The 20,256-nt window shown below is 48.3% G+C and overlaps 4 annotated features.

The window, feature by feature from the left end:
- Positions 593–1,158: an enhancer, noted in NCBI's record as "H3K27ac-H3K4me1 hESC enhancer chr3:134049669-134050234 (GRCh37/hg19 assembly coordinates)". NCBI's record gives its function as "activates a minimal SCP1, AML or CMV promoter by ChIP-STARR-seq in primed H9 embryonic stem cells {active_cell/tissue: H9 hESC(primed)}" and the evidence as "EXISTENCE:reporter gene assay evidence [ECO:0000049][PMID:30033119]".
- Positions 3,238–4,090: an enhancer, noted in NCBI's record as "H3K27ac-H3K4me1 hESC enhancer chr3:134052314-134053166 (GRCh37/hg19 assembly coordinates)". NCBI's record gives its function as "activates a minimal SCP1, AML or CMV promoter by ChIP-STARR-seq in naive H9 embryonic stem cells {active_cell/tissue: H9 hESC(naive)}" and the evidence as "EXISTENCE:reporter gene assay evidence [ECO:0000049][PMID:30033119]".
- Positions 4,091–4,941: an enhancer, noted in NCBI's record as "H3K27ac-H3K4me1 hESC enhancer chr3:134053167-134054017 (GRCh37/hg19 assembly coordinates)". NCBI's record gives its function as "activates a minimal SCP1, AML or CMV promoter by ChIP-STARR-seq in naive H9 embryonic stem cells {active_cell/tissue: H9 hESC(naive)}" and the evidence as "EXISTENCE:reporter gene assay evidence [ECO:0000049][PMID:30033119]".
- Positions 10,470–11,669: an enhancer, noted in NCBI's record as "CDK7 strongly-dependent group 2 enhancer chr3:134059546-134060745 (GRCh37/hg19 assembly coordinates)". NCBI's record gives its function as "activates an origin of replication core promoter dependent on BRD2, BRD4, P300/CBP, MED14 and CDK7 cofactors, with strong dependence on CDK7, by STARR-seq in HCT116 cells {active_cell/tissue: HCT116}" and the evidence as "EXISTENCE:reporter gene assay evidence [ECO:0000049][PMID:35650434]".

The following is a 20,256-nucleotide window of genomic DNA, read 5'->3' on the forward strand; positions in this document are numbered from 1 at the left end:
TGGCCAGAGAGGTCTGCCTAGCAGGAAACCCTGACAGTTGCATCCTTCACTACAGGGCAGTCACCTTACGGAAAAGTTTAGGTCTTTCCTTGGGGAGGCCTCAAAAGCCTTCCGGGATGGACTCTGCCCATCTTTCCAGCTTCCCATTACCCTTGTCTCTTCCCATTTTAGATACCTGAACCCTGGACTTCCAAACTGAGCTTGATGGCTGGGCCTCTGAGTCTTACAGTGTTCTATCTCCTCTAACTGTGATGTCCTTTCTCCCTTGTTTATCTGAAGGACTCCTATTCAACCTTGATAGCGTTTTTAGGGGTCCTTTCCTCTGCGAAACTGTCTTGATCTCTTTGTAAAGGGTTAATCCCACCTTCCTCTCTATCTTGAATCACACATTTAATTGAATCATGCATTTAATCATGCAACTCCCAAAGCCTCCTGTTTCCTTGTCTGTCTCCTTGCTGAGGTGGTCTCTGAGGGCCTGGCACATATCTAATTTAGTTCAGGATCCTGGATTCTTATACAGTAATTGGAATAGGACAAGTGCTCAGCACTAACGAAGATGCAATTGTTATAGCTATCGTTTATGAAGTGCTCTCTGTGCATTACCCATTCAATCCTTACATCCACTCTAAGAGGAAGAAACTGTTGACACACTTCTTTTAGGCATGAGAAAACTGAGGCTCGGAGAGGGGAACTCATTTGCCAACAGTAGATAAGTGGAGGAGCAGATTTGAACCCTAGCCTGACTTTTGTCCTAGGCCCTCACCTGCTCATTTCCCACTCTCCTGAGTACAAAGTTGATTCCTCAGCGGGGTGTACAGGTGACCCCTCAGTGGGGTGTACAAGTGGGCCCTGGCCTCACTGAGGTCAGGGGACTCCCGGGCACCAGGTGCAGCAGTACCCTCATGCCCAGCTACAGAGCACCCGATCCTGGGGCTGCCCTTTCAAGGTTATGGTGTTGGAGAGGGGGCTGGGAAACAAGAGAAAGGAGAAAATAGAGTTGAGTCAGATGCCCTGTGGAATTTCTGGCCTTTATTGAATTCTGGGAAGAGAAAAAAAAAATGGCTGTGCTTATTCCAAGTATGTCAAGATCATAAGGAGCTCTTTACTGTTTATATGCAAAACTTTCTGGCAGCCGGCACCTGCAAGCAAGAGGCCAGGAATCTGTGAGACCCAGGCACCCTAAGCTGGAGCCCCAGGCTCCACAGAGGGGCAGCTGGGCCAGGCAAAGTGAGAAGGGAAGGGGTGGACCAGACTGTCCTCAAAGCCCCTGCATGTCCTGCAGCAGAGTTCCATCCCTGATCCTGGAATGTGGGCGAGCCCTTCTTGCATGGAAAGGGAAGTGAACTGGCTGACTCCCTCTGTCCCTCTGGGCACCCCACTCCTTGGCTCTCCAGACTCATGAATACTTTTTTGGGGGAGGAGCACTGGGCTGTCTAGTAGTAGAGCCTCATTCCTCAGCAGCCCTCTCATCTGAGGAGAGGCCCTGCTGGCTCAGAGCTCTGCAGAAATACATTGAGTTGGTTTCAGAATCCCTGAATCCCCTATGCTACCCCTTGTTCAGGGCAGAAGTCAAAAAAGCAGAAGAGACCCAGATAATAGGTAATGGCATGTTTTGGGGGGATGGGGGTGGAAGGACAGTGATAACAACAGCTTCGGGCTTCAGGCTTCCCATTCCCATTCTCTCTGGAATGCTATTTATTTATGCAATCTCAGACGTCTGAGTTGAAAACTGAAAAAAGGCAGTCAATTAGCTCTGTCCGTCCATGAGTTTAAATGTCCATGAATTCAGTCAACAAACATTTGTTCATTCATTAAATGTGTACCCTGGGGCTGGATACGATGCCAGGTGTTGAGTATTTGGAAATAGCTGAGAATGTCGAGACTGATGTTTCTCACTAGGGAGGGGGCACACATGAGAATCACATACTCATGTGGGCCCCTCTCAGGACCCTCCTTCATCCAGCCTGATAATTAAGAGTTTTGGGAAGGGGCCTGGGTATGAGGATTTAGAAAACTCCCCAGCTGATAAGGATACGAAGCTCCGTTTCAGATACATGGACCAGATTGGAAGTCTATTCTTCCAAATGTACCTACAGTGCTATCTCTCTGGGGAGGTGTGGGCATAGTCTCCTGCTTGGATTCATTCATTCGTTCATTCATTCCAGTGGAATTTTTGAGTTCTTGCCAGGTGCCATGCCCTGTTCTAGGCATTGGGTTGCAGACCCTGCCCTCCCGGGGCTCTCGCAAGACACCATTCCCATTCCCTGCAGCACTCCCGTTTCATTCTCATAAAAGTCCAAGGCCTTACAGTGAGCCAGTGACCAGGCTGGTACCCGCCCGACCTCCTCTCCCCCTACTCCCTTCTGCCCTGCTCTCCCCCTACTCCCTTCTGCCCTGCTCTCCCCCTACTCCCTTCTGCCCTGCTCTCCCCCTACTCCCTTCTGCCCTGCTCCAGCTGCCTGGCTCCTGCCTGTTCCTCCCACAGGCCTCTGCTAGTTGCTCCTTCTGGAATGCTCCCCACAGAGGTTGCCCCTGCTCACTCAGTTGAGAGCTACAACCTCCCGACTCCCCAGCAATGCTTTACTTGTTCTTAGGCTTCTGTTTCTCTAGCACTTAACACATTATTATTATTATTATTATTATTATTATTATTATTATTTTTAGATGGAGTCTCACTCTGTTGCCCCAGGTTGGAATACAGTGGCGCAATCTCGGCTCACTGCAACCTCTGCCTCCCGGGTTCAAGCGATTCTTCTGTGTCAGACCCCCTGAGTAGCTGGAATTACAGGCACGCGGCACCATGCCTATTTTTTTTTTTTTTTGTATTTTTAGTAGAGACGGGGTTTCACCATGTTGGCCAGGCTGGTCTCGAACTCCTGATCTGATGATCCGCCCATCTCAGCCTCCCAAAGTGCTGAGATTATAGGTGTGAGCCACTGCGCCCGGCCACACTTATCCCCTTTTACATGCTCTGTCATTTTGAGATTTATGAGTCAATTGTTTGCTGTCCTCTACCTCCCCCACCAATCCTCTGGAATGGAAGCCCCTGGACGACAGGGTCTTTGCTTTGATAATGGATGTAGTGCAAGCATCTAGAATAGTGGGTGCTCAATAAATATTTGTTGAATGAATTAAACAAATAATAACACAGGTAAGTGTAAAATTACACCTGTGGGAAGTGCTGGCTACAGAGAATGAGTAAAATTAACTGAGCTCCTCCCAGCTCATCAACTCTATAATTTTTACTTTTGTTTTTCTTTGAAACATCATTCTGTGTTTACAATTATCCAGTGTGGCCAAGACCATTCCATTCTATTTTTGCGATCACTGTGCTTTTCCCACGGCCCTGGCCTCAGGAAAAGAGACTGTGTTGAAGTCGGAGGAGCAGGCTTTAGGGAGCCCGCAGCCCAGGGCTCTCTGGCATCCCCGAGTGAGGCCAGCAGGGGAGGATTGGTGGCCAGTCACGTATTCAGTCAGCACGAGACACTGAGCCTGTTCAGAAGGCTGAGATAATGGGATTTCAGAACAATTGTAAAAATACCTAACATGCCAGCAGGGAGTTAAACAGCAGATTCACAAGATTCTGAGGCTTTTGACCCTTCATGGAAGCCAAGGGAGACAGAATTCCAAGAGCATGTTACAGCATGTTAGGTATTTGGAGGGGGCAGTGCTTGTCATGGGCTGATCACAGCGACCCCATCCCCAGGATCCCAGCAGGGATAGGAAAAGTCACCACTCTGAGGCCAAGGACAACCATATCACAGAATTAGCCCATCAAAGAAAAGATGTGTCAGTAAGAGCCCTGAAGGAAGCCAGTCCTGTCCCAGCCCGGCCCAGAAGGCAGAGATAACAGCAGCCTTAGCCCAGCCATCTGGATCCCTCACAGTCCCAAGGATGGGGTAGGGGCGGCAGATTATTGTGGTCTAATGCTGACAGTCAGGCCCCTTTCTTCTGTCTCCACACTCTCCTCCAGGCAACTTTTGGCATCTGCCTATTGGGAGTGAAATGAGCATCCAGTATCCTGGTCTGGGTAACCCTGAGGGTTAGTCTCTGGTTTGGCTGAACGTGTCCCTTTCCCAAAAACCAGGGATGGGCTCCAGGAAAGCTGGGATGGAGAGCAGACTGCACTAAGGAAAGAGTGCCATCCTGTGTTCTCTGGAGTAGGGGGGCACCTGCCAGCATTTTCCTGATGCCCCAGCCACTGCTTTGTGCCCCAGAGGCACCACCCTTCTTTAAAGGCACTGGGGACAGTCCCTGGTGAGCAGAAAGGTGGTGGCCACAGATGGCTTAGCTGAGGAGCCTGCAGTGAGCACAGGAACAATGGAAAGAGCCTGGTGCAAGGTTCTCAGCGAGGACAATGTGAGGTTGTCCACAGGAGTTTGCAGGGAAGCAGAGATGACAGAGATGCCAGGCCAAGGAGGCTGCGGGAAGGGTGGCCAAGGCAGGAGGTGGCATGGGCTGTGTCAGAGCTGGCACATTGCAGCAGGAGTGAATTGAGCTCACAGGGAGGAAGAAATGCCTGGAATCCCTTCTGCTGGCAGTGAATCCAGGCTAGAATTGTTTGTGAATTTGATTTAGTCATCCCTGTCTCAAGTACCTTCTATGGTTCTGATAGCTCCAGATTCCAGTCCAAATCCCTCATTGCCTACAAGGCCTCTACCACCAGTACTGATTTCCTTTCTTGGCTTCTTCCAAGCCTCAGGCCCTATGATCCCTGCACTTCCTTTAACCGTGGCTCCTTCCTTTATGCCTTTGCTCTTGTCTTTTGTTCTTTTCCCACCTTTCCTTCACAGTAAAACACTACCACTTCCTGGAAGCCTTCCTGAAACATGCTGGCACCGTTGGTGACCCAGAGCAGCTCTTTCATCTGGGAGTGTCCCTTCTTGAGCCACAGACACATTAACATAGGTGATCCAAGGCCTTAGGTAATATGCATGGAATGAAGAAGTCTTTTGTGAAGGCTGGAGGACAGGGGAGCTTAGCTTCCCCATTCTCCTTCACCCATGCTCATGTAAACCTCCAATTAAAAGCCAATCTTCCCAAATGCAATCGGAAAATCAAAAAAGGACAGTGCTAAAGTCAACATACAAAGAGCATAGAGCAGGGAGGCCTCCAAAATCCTGTCTCTGACCCTACAGTTCAGACAGCAGGCCCCAGAATAGGCTCCTTGGAGACAGCAGATCCACTGGGGATGAAAGGAGTCCATTCGGGACAAAAGGAGAAAATGCGTCTCTCCATGTTATATAAGCCTTTCATCCACTGTTACATTAAAGATTCTGAAAAGTCCTGCAGAAAAGTGCCTGTTTGTGTAGCGTGTGACACCGATTAACGTTGCCCAAAGCTTTGGCATTGGACAGCCTTGAACCCCCTTCTCCGCTGGTGTGCCCCATGACTTCAGTCAAGTTCCTTGGCTGCTCTGAATCTCAGATGCCTATTTGCAAAATAAGTTATTATGTGGTCAGTGAAAGCAAAGCACTGGTTTGGCTGGGGTCCTGGGAGGACAGGATAGCTCACATAGGACACTCTTGTGGTTCTAACTATGTAGTATGGTCCAGGACTCACAGGACAGAAGCAGGAGTGAGCCACTTGGAGGGCATTATTCTGGGTTGTGTACCCAGGACGCTGGCAGGAGCCGCATCCCCCTATCCAGCCAATGGACATCTCACTAAAAAGCACCCTGACTGGCAGTAGGCATTTCCTGGAGCCCGTGCTATCCTGGCCACTCTCTCTCCGGGCTCATCTTGTACCACTTGACCCTCCACTCTCTAGCCATGTAGAATGTCTGCTGTCAGCCGGGTGTGGTGGCTCACGCCTGTAATCCCAGCACTTTGGGAGGCCGAGGCAGGCGGATCATGAGGTCAGGAGATCAAGACCATCCTGACCAACATGGTGAAACCCCGTCTCTACTAAAAATACAAAAATTAGCTGGGCATGTGGCGCATGCCTGTAATCCTAGCTACTTGGGAGGCTGAGACAGGAGAATTGTTTGAACCAGGGAGTCGGAGGTTGTGGTGAGCTGAGATCGTGCCACTGCAATCCAGCCTGGTGACAGAGCGAGACTTGTCTCAAAAAAAAAAAAAAAAAAGAATGTCTGCTGTCCTCCCTGTACCTTCCTGTCCCTCATGTCACCCTGGCTCATCCTCCTTCTAGCCTCACTCTCCTTCTTTAACTGGCCAACTCAACCTGTAGGCCTCAGCTGAGATGGTCTTCCTCTGAGATTTTTCTGGCTGCCCCTAGATCACAGGTCTCTGTTCCTGTGGAACCTCTGCTTCCTGCTTCATAAACACCTGCTCCATATATTATCAAATTCCTATCATCTACCTCCAGCCAGCTTGAGCTCCTCCAAGGCAGAGTTGCTGCACCATCTGTGCCCAGCACAGTATCAGAGGAGGGGCTAAAAACAATGCTTGGACATATGATTCTCGGTTCCCTCTTGCCCCCTGGACCTGCTCCTGGTGTCCCCCTCCCTCCCTTCTCCTATGGGGATCTGTAGATTGCATCACCCTTCTGCTGTTGAAAGTAATGAATCACCTCTCGCCAAGTCCCCACGTGGTAAAAAATCTCCCGGGATACAGGAGAAGTGCCATAGATTACGGCTTGGTGTGGTCATAGGGAGCAAGTGAGGGGTGGCAGGGTGCCTGTACAAGCGGGGAAGGGTTAGGGATCCCAGCCCTTATCCTGTGCACAGTTTTGGTTTCTGCCAGCTGGAGCTGTGCAAAGGATTGGCAGTGTGGCCCTCACCTGAGGCAGGGCCTGGGAACCTGAGCATCCCTGGAAGATGCTGAGCTGGGCCTTGGTGGGGATGGGGGAGGAGGGGGCTCAGAAGTACAGCCCAATCCAGGCTGTCTGACAAGCAATGGGGACGGGAGAGTCCCGGATAGCTGGTGAGGAGCCAGGGCTCAGGGTGGGCCCTCTCCTTAAGCCCGAGGTAGGAGGCTGGCAGCAGCACTGACGCAAGTACAGGTGAGGGCAGGGCCCAAAATGTGGCCCTGGGGCCTTCCAGCTTGGCCAGACCAGCCCAACGAGAAGCCAGGGCTGGGAGGGCCAGGCAGGTGGGGAAGGCTTGCAGGCCAGGCCCAATACCTTGAGAAGCCAATGGGCTCCTCAAGGGTACTTCATTCTGGGTGAGGCCCAAGACGTGGCGGCCACACTTCCTCCCATGCCCAGGGATTCTGAGTCTACGCAAGCCCAGGCCTGATCCCTGCCATGGTCACTGCCCAGCAGGGAATCTCCTGGAGTGAGGCCCCAGGGTGGAGCTGCCCATGGGCAACTTCCCTGCTCCCACCCCTGTCTGTCTCTCCCAGACCTCTTATAGGTCATTGTTGAGAGCTCAAGGTCATAGCTGCCAAAGAAATACCACAGGGCATGGCACTGTAGGCCTTGGAGTGGAGGATGGTGGGGAAGACAGGGTGAGTCTACAATTCTTCCAAAAATGCTAATCTCACTTTGCCACTCCTTGTTTGCAACCCTTCCCTGGCACCCTGCAGGCATTCAGGACAGCATTCAACTCTGACCTTGGCCTACACAGCCCTCCTGGATGGTCTCAATTCCCTCTCCAACCTCATCCTTCCCTCTTCTCCACCTGGTGGGTCACTTTCCATTTCTCTCTGTCCTGGGTGCCTGAGTGCTTGGACCTGGTACTCAAAGGCCACCCAGCACCCAGATAAGTCCTGCTTACCCTCCACTTGCTGTTCTAGCAACGAAGTGACTCTGACTCCCAACCAGAGTAGAAGTCACTCCCTGCCTGCAGCCCCACAGCTCCCACCTCTCCCCTGCCAACCCAGTGTACCACTGAGTGGGCCCAGATGCAACACTCCTGACAAGTCACTGAGGGTATCACAGTAACAGCCTCTGCCCAGCAATTTCCTTTTCAGCCTGCAGGGTCCTCACGCTCACCGGTCTGGTCACAGGGTTCACCCTGTTTTGCCAGCTGCCAGCTCATCCAGCCTTCCTAAGTGTGAGTCCTGGGGTTACACTGAGCCTACGTGTGAGGCCTTGGTCACTGTGGGCATTATGGCGATGTCCAGGCCAGTGCTGAGATCTTTCCTGTTGCTGAGATTATGAGGGACCCTGAGTCCTTATTCTCTGTCCTGAGTCCCCTCACCTGTGGGTTCTTCCCATCCCAGGTCCATCACCTCCCTGCATCCCTGTCCTCCCTGCTTTTGGCTTCCTCTGCTGGGACACTCCTGGTGAGGCCACCTGGCCCAGCTTGTTCCTCCCCTCTCCCTGAGCTTGTCTCAGATCAGGCTTTCTGGATCTGAGTTTACTGCTTGTCCTGTGGCCCTTTTCTGAGATCCTCTCTTCCAGTCTCTGGGGCTGTCCTCACCCCAACATGCACCTGCTGCCCCAGGGTGCTGGCGAAAGCTCCTCAAGTGGTCATTTATTCACTAAAAGCTCCTATTTGCAGCCTCTGCCCCACGCCAGGCCTAGGCTGGAGCTGGGGCTGCAGTGTGAACAAGCCAGGTCCTGTCTTCAGAGCCTCACAGCATGGTGGGCAAACAATTCACAGAATCATGTTGCCTGTCACTGCAGGAGACAGAGCAAGGTCCTGTGGAGGATGGCGGGTAAATGGGGTACTGTCTGGCAGAGCAACTGGGAATATGTATTTGAGCCTTTGCAAACTCTCCAGCTATTTGACCTCAGCTGCTTACCTGCTCACACCACCTCCTGATAGCCTCTGTGGTGCTCACTGATCTCTGACCACAGCTTTAGGTACAAGTGTCCAAGAAATTCCTTCACCTTGAGCTGACCACCTGCTCTTTTCTCCAGCTCATAGGCTCCACATGGGCTGACCTCTTGGCTGCCCCTGGATTGGGGGCCCTTCTGCTTGGTGTACCAAGCCCCCGAGAGGGTGCCTGTCACTCAAGGACTGCTGGAGGAAAGAAGGGCTCTCTGATCCCTAGAAGGAGGCCACCTCTGGTCCTGCGCAGCTGAGAGGGGCTCCACACAGATCCTCCTCCTCTAAATGTCTGTTTTCCTCCTGTGTGAACCAAAGGGCTCACTTGTTGTTTCTGCTGCTTTTAAAATTGTGAGTAGATATGTTTTTTGCCAGGGCAGCTTGCTCCAGGATCTCACAGGAACAGAGGGCATGGTGCCTACAGCAAAGCCAGTCTGCCGTGGGACTGCCGGCCTCTGCCTGCTGCTGAGTGGGGCAGGCAGGATGTGCAGAGGGGCTGGCCTGATCCCATGGTCCTGAAGACAGGACCAGCTTTGGGAGGAAGCTGAGTTTGTCTGCATGAAGGAGCTGCATTTGCACCTGCCGACCCCCTGCAGGTGAGTGTCCCAAGGTGCAGGGTGAAGGCTGTAGGTAGAAACTAGGTAACTGCCTTAGCATGCCGTAAGCAGCCCTCCCAGTGCCTGTATCTCGCCTGGTACACCTCTTCCTACAAGTACGACGACCCCGGTTGCACCCAGCTCCTCAGCAGCCGCCCACTACTGTCATGCTCTGAAGCCTGGTCCACAAGGCCCTTCTGATCTGACCCTGTCTCCTTCTCCACCTGAGTCCCAGCCCCCAGGAAATGCTCTGTTCCCCGACAGGGTTGTGTCAATCCATATCCTGTGCCTTTATACACACTGTTAGGGCTTCGTCTATCCCTCACATCCCAACAGTCTTCTGCAACTCCCCACAGCCCTGCACTTCCCCACCCACCCCCGCCTCACCACTAGGGAGTCTTACCTAAGGCTCTGGGTAGGCACCTCTTCCTCCTATGAGACGTCTGTGGACTCCCCTAAGCAAAGTGGAGCATGCCTGCTCTGCGCTACGACTGTGGCAGCCCCCATCACCTGCCTGTTGTCTTCTCTGCCACTATGACATTTCAGAGGAAAGGATCCATGTCTTCTCTGTTGTATCCCCAGGGATTGGCAGATGGAATTGCTCAATAAACATTCAACAAAGTATCTGTCTTAGTCAAGATTCCTTTGCTTACAAGTTTAAGCAAAAAGAAGTTTCTCTGGGAAAGTTCTCATAACTGCAGGAAGAGAAGGGTGTAGGTGGGCCTCAGAGACAGCTGGAACCAAGGACTGACACCGCACCAAAATTCACTTGCACCTTCTGCCCTCGCTCCAGTTCCTCCCCATGGTGAAAGACTTGACTATAAATGGCTCCAGCACTTTCTGGCTCCAAATCCACAGGGGAAATAAGCTACTTCTTTATATTCTCACACTGAAAAATTTCAGGGAAGAATGCTGACTGACCCAACTTGAGCCAATTACTCAACCTTGGACCAATCACTGTGAAGAGGGTATCCAGGAATATGGCATTTCCCATTCAAAGATCATGGTCAGAAAAGAGTGAGGAGTGGATCCTGGGAGATGGAGGATGCTGTTCTGGGCAGACAAAATGGAGTTAAACATTACAAGAAAGAATGATTAAGTAAATGAATGAGCCAAGAGCTACACATGTCCTTACAGATAATGGCACAATTTCCACAGTGTTTGCAAAGAATTCTCTCTGGTTCTTACTGTAGCCCTATGAATCCACATCTCACATATGAGGAAAGACGGTCAAAGTTACAAGTGAAAAAAATGCAGCCAGGATTCCACCCCCTGATGGCATATTAGATGTGTGTACTTGGAGTTTTTCCTCCCACAGAAGTGTGGGCAGCTAGACCTCTCCTGAGCAGTCACTGGAGAAGAGGGCAAGTGTTTATCTGTGAGGGAGGGAAAAGGGATTCTGTCAAGGGTTAGCTCTAAGCCCATTTCTGCACCAACTCTCATGTTGGGAAACCTTTTCTTGCCTCAGTCAGCATGAGAACATAACTGCTTCTTTGGGGATTTGAGACCATGCCATCTTTGCTTTAGTGTTAAACTGTGATTATTTTAGCTTGTATCTGGAGCCCTAAGGGCCCAGGACATGGAGGTCATTATCCAGAACCAGACACAGATGAGAGGCCCTTGACTTGGGACTTAGAGGGCAAATGGGCAGCTCAGTTTTCACTTCCTACTAGCTCTCTGACACACACACCAGGGAATTCACTGCTTTTTCCTGTGCCTTTATTCTAACACATGGCACTTGCTGCAGTGCCTCATAGTCAGGGGGCTAGACTTGCTTCTTAAGGTCAAGGCCTGAATCCGTTTATCTTATCCTCTCAGAACTTGAAGTCTATGGTAGATGGTTTGCAAAGATGGCTTCAATAACCCCTCCCATTCCTATGTGCATGCCCCTTTGCAACATAACTCTGCTACTTTTTCCTTGAAGAGGTCAAGTCTCTTTCCCTACCCCTTGAATTTGGGCTTGCCTGTGACTTGCTTTGACCACCAGAATGCAGCAGCCTAGTCCTCAAGAGGCGTTGCAGCTTTTGCTCTTGTCCTCTTAGCATCTGCCAATCTACATGTGAACATGCCTGGGCTAGCCTGATGGAGCATGACAAGCCACGTGGAGTAGACAAATACCATCCCAGTTGAGGCTCACCAGACCAACTCACTACAGCCAGCACCAAGTGTCAGACATGAATATGACCTTCTTGGACCTTCCCCCTCAGTCAAGCCACCAGAAGACTGCAGCCCCACTAATGAGCCCAGGGGAGACTAAGGAAAGAATCTCTCAGCTGAGCCTAGCCTTAATTGCTGACTTACAGAATTATGAGCAAATAAAATAGTTGTTTTCAGCAGCTAAGTTTTGAAGTGGTGTGTTACACAGTGATAGAAAATGGGTACAGGGTAGTTCTTAGTTGTAGTATGTTGAATTGCCTCTTCCCAAAAAATATGCTCAAGTCCTAACCCCTGATACCTGTGAATGTGACCTTATTTAGAAATAGGGTCTTTGCAGATGTAATCAAGTTAAGATGAGGTCATACAGGATGAGGGTGGGCCCTAAATCCAATGACTGATGTCTTTATAAGATTTGGATACAGAGACACAGAGGAGACACAGGGAAGAAGGCCATGTAATGACGAGGGTAGAGATTGAAGTGACTCAACGTATAAGCCAAGGAATACCAAGGACTGCCAGGAGCCATCAGAAGCCAGGAAGAATTCCCCCTTAGCATCTTCAGAGGGAGCATGGCCCTGTGAACACCTTGATTTCAGACTGCTAGCCTCCAGAACTGTGAGAGAATACATTCCTGCGTTAAGCCACCCAGTTTGTGACCATTTGTTATGGCAGCTCGAGAAAATTAATACACGAGTTCAGAATTTTGCTCAGAAAGTGCCAGCTGGCTGAATGGAGAAGCTGAGAAGTGGAGGATAATTAACTTGCCCTTTTGGCACCTCGCCCCTCCATTGACTTCAGTCACCATGCTGCTGGGTCACCACCTCCCAGGGCTCAGACACCTGCATCTTCTGCCCAGCCCTCGGGGGTCTGGCTCCAGGTCTGCACACACACACGAACCCGGGCACAGTGCTCAGGGCATTCTTTATGTATGCGTATATACACACTTTTTTTTCTGCACATAAAAATAGTTCGTGAAAATCTAAGTAAGCTTAGAAAATATAGCAAAGTAGGCCAGGCGTGGTGGCTCATGCCTGTAATCCCAGCACTTTGGGAGGCTGAGGTGGGTAGATTACTTGAGGCCAAGAGTTCAAGACCAGCCTGGCCAGCATGTCAAAACCCCATCTCTACTAAAAGTACAAAAATTAGCTGGGCATGGTGGCGGCCACCTGTAATCACAGCTACTTGGGAGACTGAGGCAAGAATCACTTGAACCTGGGAGGTGGGGGTTGCAGTGAGTCGAGATCATGCCACTGCACTCCAGCCTGGCGAGAGAGCGAGACTCTGTCTCAAGATATATACATTTATAGCAAAGTAAAAAGAAGAAAAAAAATACCCAAAACTTTATCGTCCAGTGATAACCACTGTCAACATTTCATTTTTTTTTTTTTTTTTTTTTTTTTTTTTTTGTGAGACGGAGATTTACTCTTGTTGTCCAGGCTGGAGTGCAATGGCGCGATCTCAGCTCACCGCATTCTCCGCCTCCCAGGTTCAAGCGATTCTCCTGCCTCAGCCTCCCGAGTCGCTGGGATTACAGGCATGTGTCACCACGCCCGGCTAATTTTGTATTTTTAGTAGAGACGGGGTTTCGCCGTGTTGCCCAGGCTGATCTCGAACTCCTGACCTCAGGTAATCCGCCCGCCTTGGCCTCCCAAAGTGCTGGGATTACATGCGTGAGCCACTGCACCTGGCAACATTTCATTTTTAAATTGTTATAGTCTTTTCATTTATACAAATATTGGTATATGATTTTTCAAAGCAAAAAATGGGATCATACTGTTGATCCCACTGTGCTGTTTTGTATCCTAGGTTTTTTACTTAATAATATGCAAAGGACATTTTTCTGTGTCAATAACTATGAATCTGTTTATTCAGCGCATATTAATTGAATACCCACTATGTGTAAAGCACTTTCCATAATACCAGGATTCAATCATGAATAAAGATAGTGCATTCACAGTCCCTGTCCACATCCTCATGAAGTTTATAGGCTCCCAGGAGGGGACACAGGCATCTAGCAAATAATTACACACATACCTTTTTGACTTTTTTCAATTTTGAGATGATTTCAGACTTACAGAAGAGTTGCAGAAATGATGCAGAGAGCTTCCACATACCCTTCACAAGGCTTCCCCGGAGATTAATATCTCACATAACTATACAGTATGACAATTATGAAAACTAAGAAATTAATATTGGCATAATGCCATTCAGCACAGACTTTCTTTTCTACTTTTTTTTTCCTGTTCTGGGATCTGATCCTGTGTCTCACTTTGAATTTGATTGTCGTGTTTCCTTAATCTCCTCCAATCTGTGACAGTTCCTCAGTCTTTCCTTGTCTTTCATGACCTTAAGGCTTTTCTGAGTACTGGGCAGTTGTTTTGTAGAATGCCCCTCAGTTTGGGTTTGTCTGATGTTTTCTCATGATTAGATTGAGGTTATGCCTTATTGGGATGGATACCACAGAAGTGACATGCCTTTCTCAGTGCATCCTATCAAGGGGTACAGGATGTCAACGCAACTTATTACTGGTGACGTTAACCTTGGTCACTTGGTTAAAGTGAAATCTGCTAGGTTTCTTCACTCTCAAGTTACTATTTTCCCCTTTGTAATTAATAAAAATTTGTTTTGGGGAAAATATTTTGAGACTATGTAAATATCATATTTCTTAAACTTTCACCCACTGAGTTTAATATCCATGGGTGGATCTTGCCTTCAGGGGCATCTGGTATTCTAATGGTGACTTTGTATTTCCTTCTGTATTCACTGAGTGGACTTCTTCTGTAACAGAGAGCTGTCACAGACACTTCTTTAGTGACAGTAGTGAAGAGTTTTACAAGGATGCAAGGAGAACCTGAAACAGGATGACCCAACTCACTATGTAGTAGTTGGGGAAATCTTCCCTGAAGAGGTGACATTAATGCTAATTTTTGAAAAATCAAAAGGACTCATCAGGGCACTGGGTTGGGGGTGAAGAGGAGAATGTTCCAGGCTCAGGGAAGAACATGCACAAGATCTCTACCCATAGCTGACAGATACTGACATGAAACTGCATGAGAGACAGGGTGGGTAGAAACCTTGGCCACCTGGAGGGACTTCCTCATCTGAAGGACGCAGCTGCTTCTTGCTCCAGCCAGAGTCATGTCAAGTGGAAATGAGGGTCTAGTGTTGCCAGAGTTTTTGATGTTCAAGAGAAGCTGGACATCTGGATTTTTTTCCCATAAAACTTCTCAATCTTCTTAATGTTCGCAAACAATCCCCTTCTCCTTCATAGCCAAACAAAACCTGTGAACTAATGTTTTTTTTACCTGTGCATGGCTGAACCACAATTTATTTATTTGTCTCCTGGGGCTGGACCTTGAAGTTATTTTCGATGGTTCCCTGTTATAAACAATTCTGAATGAACATCCTTGGACAGACAACCTGAACACCTTCTCTAGCTATGAAAATTTGCACCAGACAGCCACTTGTGGCCTCACAACTGCCAGACCCTGTGGCCTCTTCAGGCCCATCCTCTTTCCCTCTTCCTTCCCTACAGGTCTTCACATCCTGTTGGTGCCCCAGTTCTCCTTCTACTTTTCTAACTGTTCTTTTCAATTTCCTTCAATGTCTTAGTCAACTCCACCTATGGCTGCAATGGAATCCATATCACTTGTAAGGAGTCTATGAGGTGATCTGGGCTGTGGTCCCACAGAAGCTCACCTGGGCTGAGAGCACAGCTGGTTGGTCATGGGGGCATTTCAAGCCAAAGCCCTGGCCTGGCTGACTCTGCTGCTCTGTTTCCTGGAAGGGAAGGGCCTGAGGCTGGCTCAGCAAGCACACTGGTTGCTAAAAGACCAGCAAATACGTTCTTGCTGTATTCTGCCTTGCTCTGATAAGGCAGGTATGGAGGAGATGAAGAGCTAGAAGTCTGGTGCCAGAATCCAGAGAGGAGTTCCCACCACACAGGACAGAAGAACCAGGGATCCTCTTAGAGCTGGCAGGCAGGGCACCCAGCTCTCTGGCTGTGCCCAGCTTTCTTCCTATGGTGCCCTCTTGTGCCATGGCCTTTGTGTTGTGACTGGACTGTCCTTATTGTGGGCATAAACAGCCAGCCTGAAATGGGGTAGGGGGACAGAGGGTGAGAGGGAGGGCAACTTCCCTTGCCCCCAGGGCTTTTATTCAGGGAGAAAGAAAAGCTTTCTTTCCTGTTTGTCTTGAAGCACCCCTCATCTGTGTCCAGATAGCAGGTGAGGGTGGTGCCCAGCCAGCTGCTCCTGGGGAGCACCTTGTGCTCTTTGGGTCTTGGATTGACTCAAATGGTGCCTACTGGAAGAGACTGCCACATTTTTGAAGTTATGAATAAAAAGAAGCTATAACAGAGTCTGGCTGTCAGTGGACATCCTTCTAAAATAATTGTAAAAATAATAAAAGCATAAAACAATAATAAAAGTTAGCATAAAACAATAATGTCCCCATTTACTGAACACTTAGTCTATGCCAGGCATCATGCTAAGGGGTCGTCATTTATTATCTCATTTAATCCTCATGTCAGCCCCCAGAGTTTAGATTAATAACTGTGGTCTCAGGATGAGCTTAAGAAACCTGCTTAGAAGTTGCATTAAGATCATACCTGTCAACAAGGACAAGCTTGACTGCCACAGGGTCCACAGATCCCTACCCAGACCACAGCAGATAAGACCCTGCTTTCCACAAAATATCCACTCATCTGTCTTATGTTTGCTCATGGCAGTCCTAGATCATATGTCACCACCTGAGACCTTGGCATGTTTCCTTAGTCTGGGGGGACCTGTATGTGGAGAGAGGGCCCCACGTCCCCATAAGCTTCTGCCTCTTGGTCTGGAACCTAAAGTGAGACACCCTTGACTGTAGTGGAGCAAGCCACCCAATGCCCCCTCATTCAGCAAGGGCTTCATTCTAAGTTTGGGTTTTTTATAACCTCCCTTGACTCTCCAGTTTATGTGGATTATGCATACTTAGACATTTGTGATAATATGATGGTCACTATTCCTAGTGTGAACTCTTTGGAGGCCCATGAGATCCTGTGTTTTATAGATTGACTTTTTCATTCACTTGTTGAGGTTCACTGAGCACTCTCTGTGCCTGGCATTGCTAGAGGGAATGGGGACAATGTGGCGAGTGGGGCATATGCAGCCCTTCCTTCCTGGATCACATTCTTGTGGGAAAAATACTCAGTGAAATACTAGCAAAATGAAGTTAGTAACATATATGAAGGAGTATACTGTATGACTCAATGAGATTTATCCCAGGAATGCAAGGTTGGCTTAACATCTGGATATCAATGTTATCCAGAATTAATAGAATTAATGACTAAACCACATGATCATTTCAATAGATGCCAAAAAAGCATTTGAAAACATTTAATACTCTTTCAGGATGGAAACATTCAACAAACCAGGAATAGAAAGGAATTTCCTCAGTCTGATAAAGGGCAACTATTTTCTTTTTGTTTTGAAAACATCACAGCTTAACATTATATTTAATGGTGAAAAATTGAATGCTTTCCCCCTAAGATCAGGAACAAGGTAAGGATATTTGTTCCCACAAATTCTATTCAACATTGTACTGAAGCTTAGGCAAGAAAATGAAATAAAAGGCATCAAGATTGGAAAGAAAGAACTTAAACTATCTTTATTTGTAGATGCCATAATCTTGCAGTATATAGAAAATCCTAAGGAATCCACTAAAAAACTGTTAGGACTGATAAGCAAGCTCAGCAAGGTGACAAAACATAAGATCAATATACAAAAATGAATTTTATTTTCATGTACTAGAAATAAAATATCAGAAAATGAAATCAAGAAAGCAACTACATTTATAGTAGTATTACTAAGAATAAGATATCTAAGAATAAATTTAATAAAAGAAGTATAAGACTTATACATTGTTCCTACTACATTCTAGTGGCAACAGTTGAGAAAATGGAGGGACGTCAGCTTGGCCAGGCCACATTGTCAGGGAGGTACAGGCACACCCAGCAAGAATTCTCTGTCACAGCCTTGGGAATTCATGCCAGTTTGCAGCTGCTCTGCCCGACTTCAGCGCCCTTTTGCCCCATTTAGGAAGGTGGTGTTGGCTGTGATCACAGCCCTGCAATTAATGTCTCTATTTCAAGTTATGTAGGTGATGGGAACTCAGTGGTACAAAGTCCAGAATGGCCTCTTATTTTGAGAAACTTTCCAGGGGCCCTGGCCTCTTCAGGCCTTATACACAGGCTGCACCTTGGAATGTTGGTTATCTACTGCTTCCTGCTGCTGGCAAAAATGCAAAGTTTAAAAAATAAGTCTTTTATTTTAGGACAGTTTTAGATTTGAAGAATCATTAAGATAGTATAAATAGTTCCTGTATACCCTGCACCCAGTTTCCTCTATTATTAACACTTTTGCATTAGTAAAGTACATGTATCACAATTAAAATTGTCATTAACTAAAGTTCATGTTTATTTTCTGTCCCAGGATCCCATCCGGGATACCACAGTACCTTTAGTTGCCATGTCTCCTTAGATCCCTCTTGCTTTTGATAGTTTAAAATGCAAGTTTTAGCTTCAACATGAAGATGTTGAGAAAGTCTGAGATCTGGAGTCAGACAAGCCTTGACTCATATCTGAGCTCTGCCCCTATTAGCTGAAGACCTAGAGTAATTTATTTAAGCCCTCTGAGCCTCAGTCTCCTCATCTGTAAAATGGAGGCAATAAAATCTAACTTGCAGGGCTGTATCTTGCAAGATAATACATGAAAAACACCCAGCACAGTGCCTAACACACTGGTGTGCTAAAAAATAACACTATTCATAATGTGTCCCCTGCCTCACCCGTCCTTCCCAGCGCTACAGTCCCTGGTAAGCCACTGCCCTCTTCTTCTCCTAGTCTTTGCTGTGCTGAGCAGGAGCCCTTGCCGCTGACACACACTCCATAGCTCCGGTGCTGCATAGACCCAACCTAACTCACTGGTATGGGAAGGCAGCACCTACTAACACTGGCTGTCTCACAACAGCTGGATTTTCCCCAAGTCTTTTCCAGTCACCGTAGGTCCCAGCATGTGAGCCAGTGCTCCTTGTCATGGTGACCTACTTGTCAGGAATGCACAAGGCTGTCGGCCCCTGGCTTTGAGTCAGTACCCAGAAGCTCTGAGTGTTCTCCTGGCCAAACCTGATCCCCACCCTGGTCTTGCCCTTCTGAAGGCCTGCTGGTGAAGGGATAAGCCTGCTGCCTGCTCCTTCAGGGCTGTATTGGTAGGGCCACCAGGACACATGAGTGAATTTTGTCCCATTCATCTGTTTGCCATTGACTGCAGATGCTGGGTGTTTGCTCAGAATAGAAATTCTCCTGTAGGAAGACTGAGTCCATGTTTAGGGGACCCATGTGTGCCTGCCTGAGGGGGTGTGTGTTGGGCGTGGGTGTGCATTCAAGCCTCCAAAAATGTGTATGTGTGTGCAAGTGTGTGTATAAGTGCGCATGCCCATATTGTTTACCTGGAGGCTTATGATGGGTGTTTGTGGCAGGTGTGCATGTGGACAAGCCCATGAGTGTATTTCATGCCTGTGTGTTTGGTGTGAAAGTGTATGTATGCATGTGGTGTGCATGAGCAGGCGTGGAAGTGCATACAATGGAGGAAGGAATCTTCATCTTGCCACATGTCTCCTGTGCCATATAACCCGGGCTCAGATGCAGAAGCCAGTCAGATGGATAGAAACTTCCTCACAGTCATGGCCCTGTGCCTATAGATGCAGAAGCAGGGCTCAGACCACGTCCTGGGTTAAAGCACCTCTTGTGTTCAAAGCTGGAGGTAGATGCACTGAGCACAGAAAACAATGTCATTTTATTAAAAGAATGGCCTGTGTTGTGAGTGACCCTCATATCAGGTGTTGAGAGCTGGCTTGTAAAGAAAGAAGGTTCTGAAAGGAGAGGAGACCAGGTAGAATGTAACTGTGGCCCCACTCAGGATGCTGGTGGGCCTGGGATGATTTGGGGGGCCTTTCCTTCACAGGTGTCCCTCCTACAATGCTCCCTTGCTTCCTGCCCCTGCCCTTCGCCCCTCAGCGGGGCTTCAACCAGTTGAAGTCCAAGTTTATAAATTCTCTTTCCTTTTATTAAAGCTTCTATCTGGAATGCGCATTTCTCAGTTACACACATGGCTCACTCCCTTACCTCCTTCAAATCTTTGCTCAAATGTCACCTTCTTAATAACGCCTCTTTAAAACTGCAACTCTCCCGCAGCCCCACCACCTTGCTTCAAACTCCTCATCCCTCTTGTCCTTCCCTTTTTTCCCCCAAAGCTCTTGTCACCTTGGCACACAGTGTGGACCAGCACTGCAAGAGGACACACATACAGAAATTGAGGGGATGCATTTGGAAGCTTCTATGCTATAGCATCTCTAGCTATGGGATCTCTAAATTTGATATTGCTCAGAAATCCAAATGCAGATTGAAAAAAAACAACTGATTTTTCACCACAGAGAGTTTAAGAATTATTGTTCTCCCATACTCTATCAAGTTTAGTTTCCTGTTTGTCTTCCCCCACCCCACTCCTGCTAGAGTGAAGTTCCATGGGGCAGGGATTTTGTCTGCTTTATTCCCCATTGACTCCCCCCAGTATCTAGAATGGGTGTGGTACATGCTGGGTCCTTAATGGCTATTAGTTGAGTGCGTACATGTGCAAGGGGAGGTCTGAGAGGTGAATATCTTTCAATGGACAAGTGGTGGGATGGCTGCAAAAGTTCAACCACAGGCCCCTGAGCTGACCACACTGTTCCCAGGACCACGCCTTGACGGTCCAGCTTGGGGGCTGCAGGAAAGAGGCACAGGACTTG

Source organism: Homo sapiens, chromosome 3, assembly GCF_000001405.40.
Source record: "Homo sapiens chromosome 3, GRCh38.p14 Primary Assembly".
NCBI lineage: Eukaryota > Metazoa > Chordata > Mammalia > Primates > Hominidae > Homo > Homo sapiens.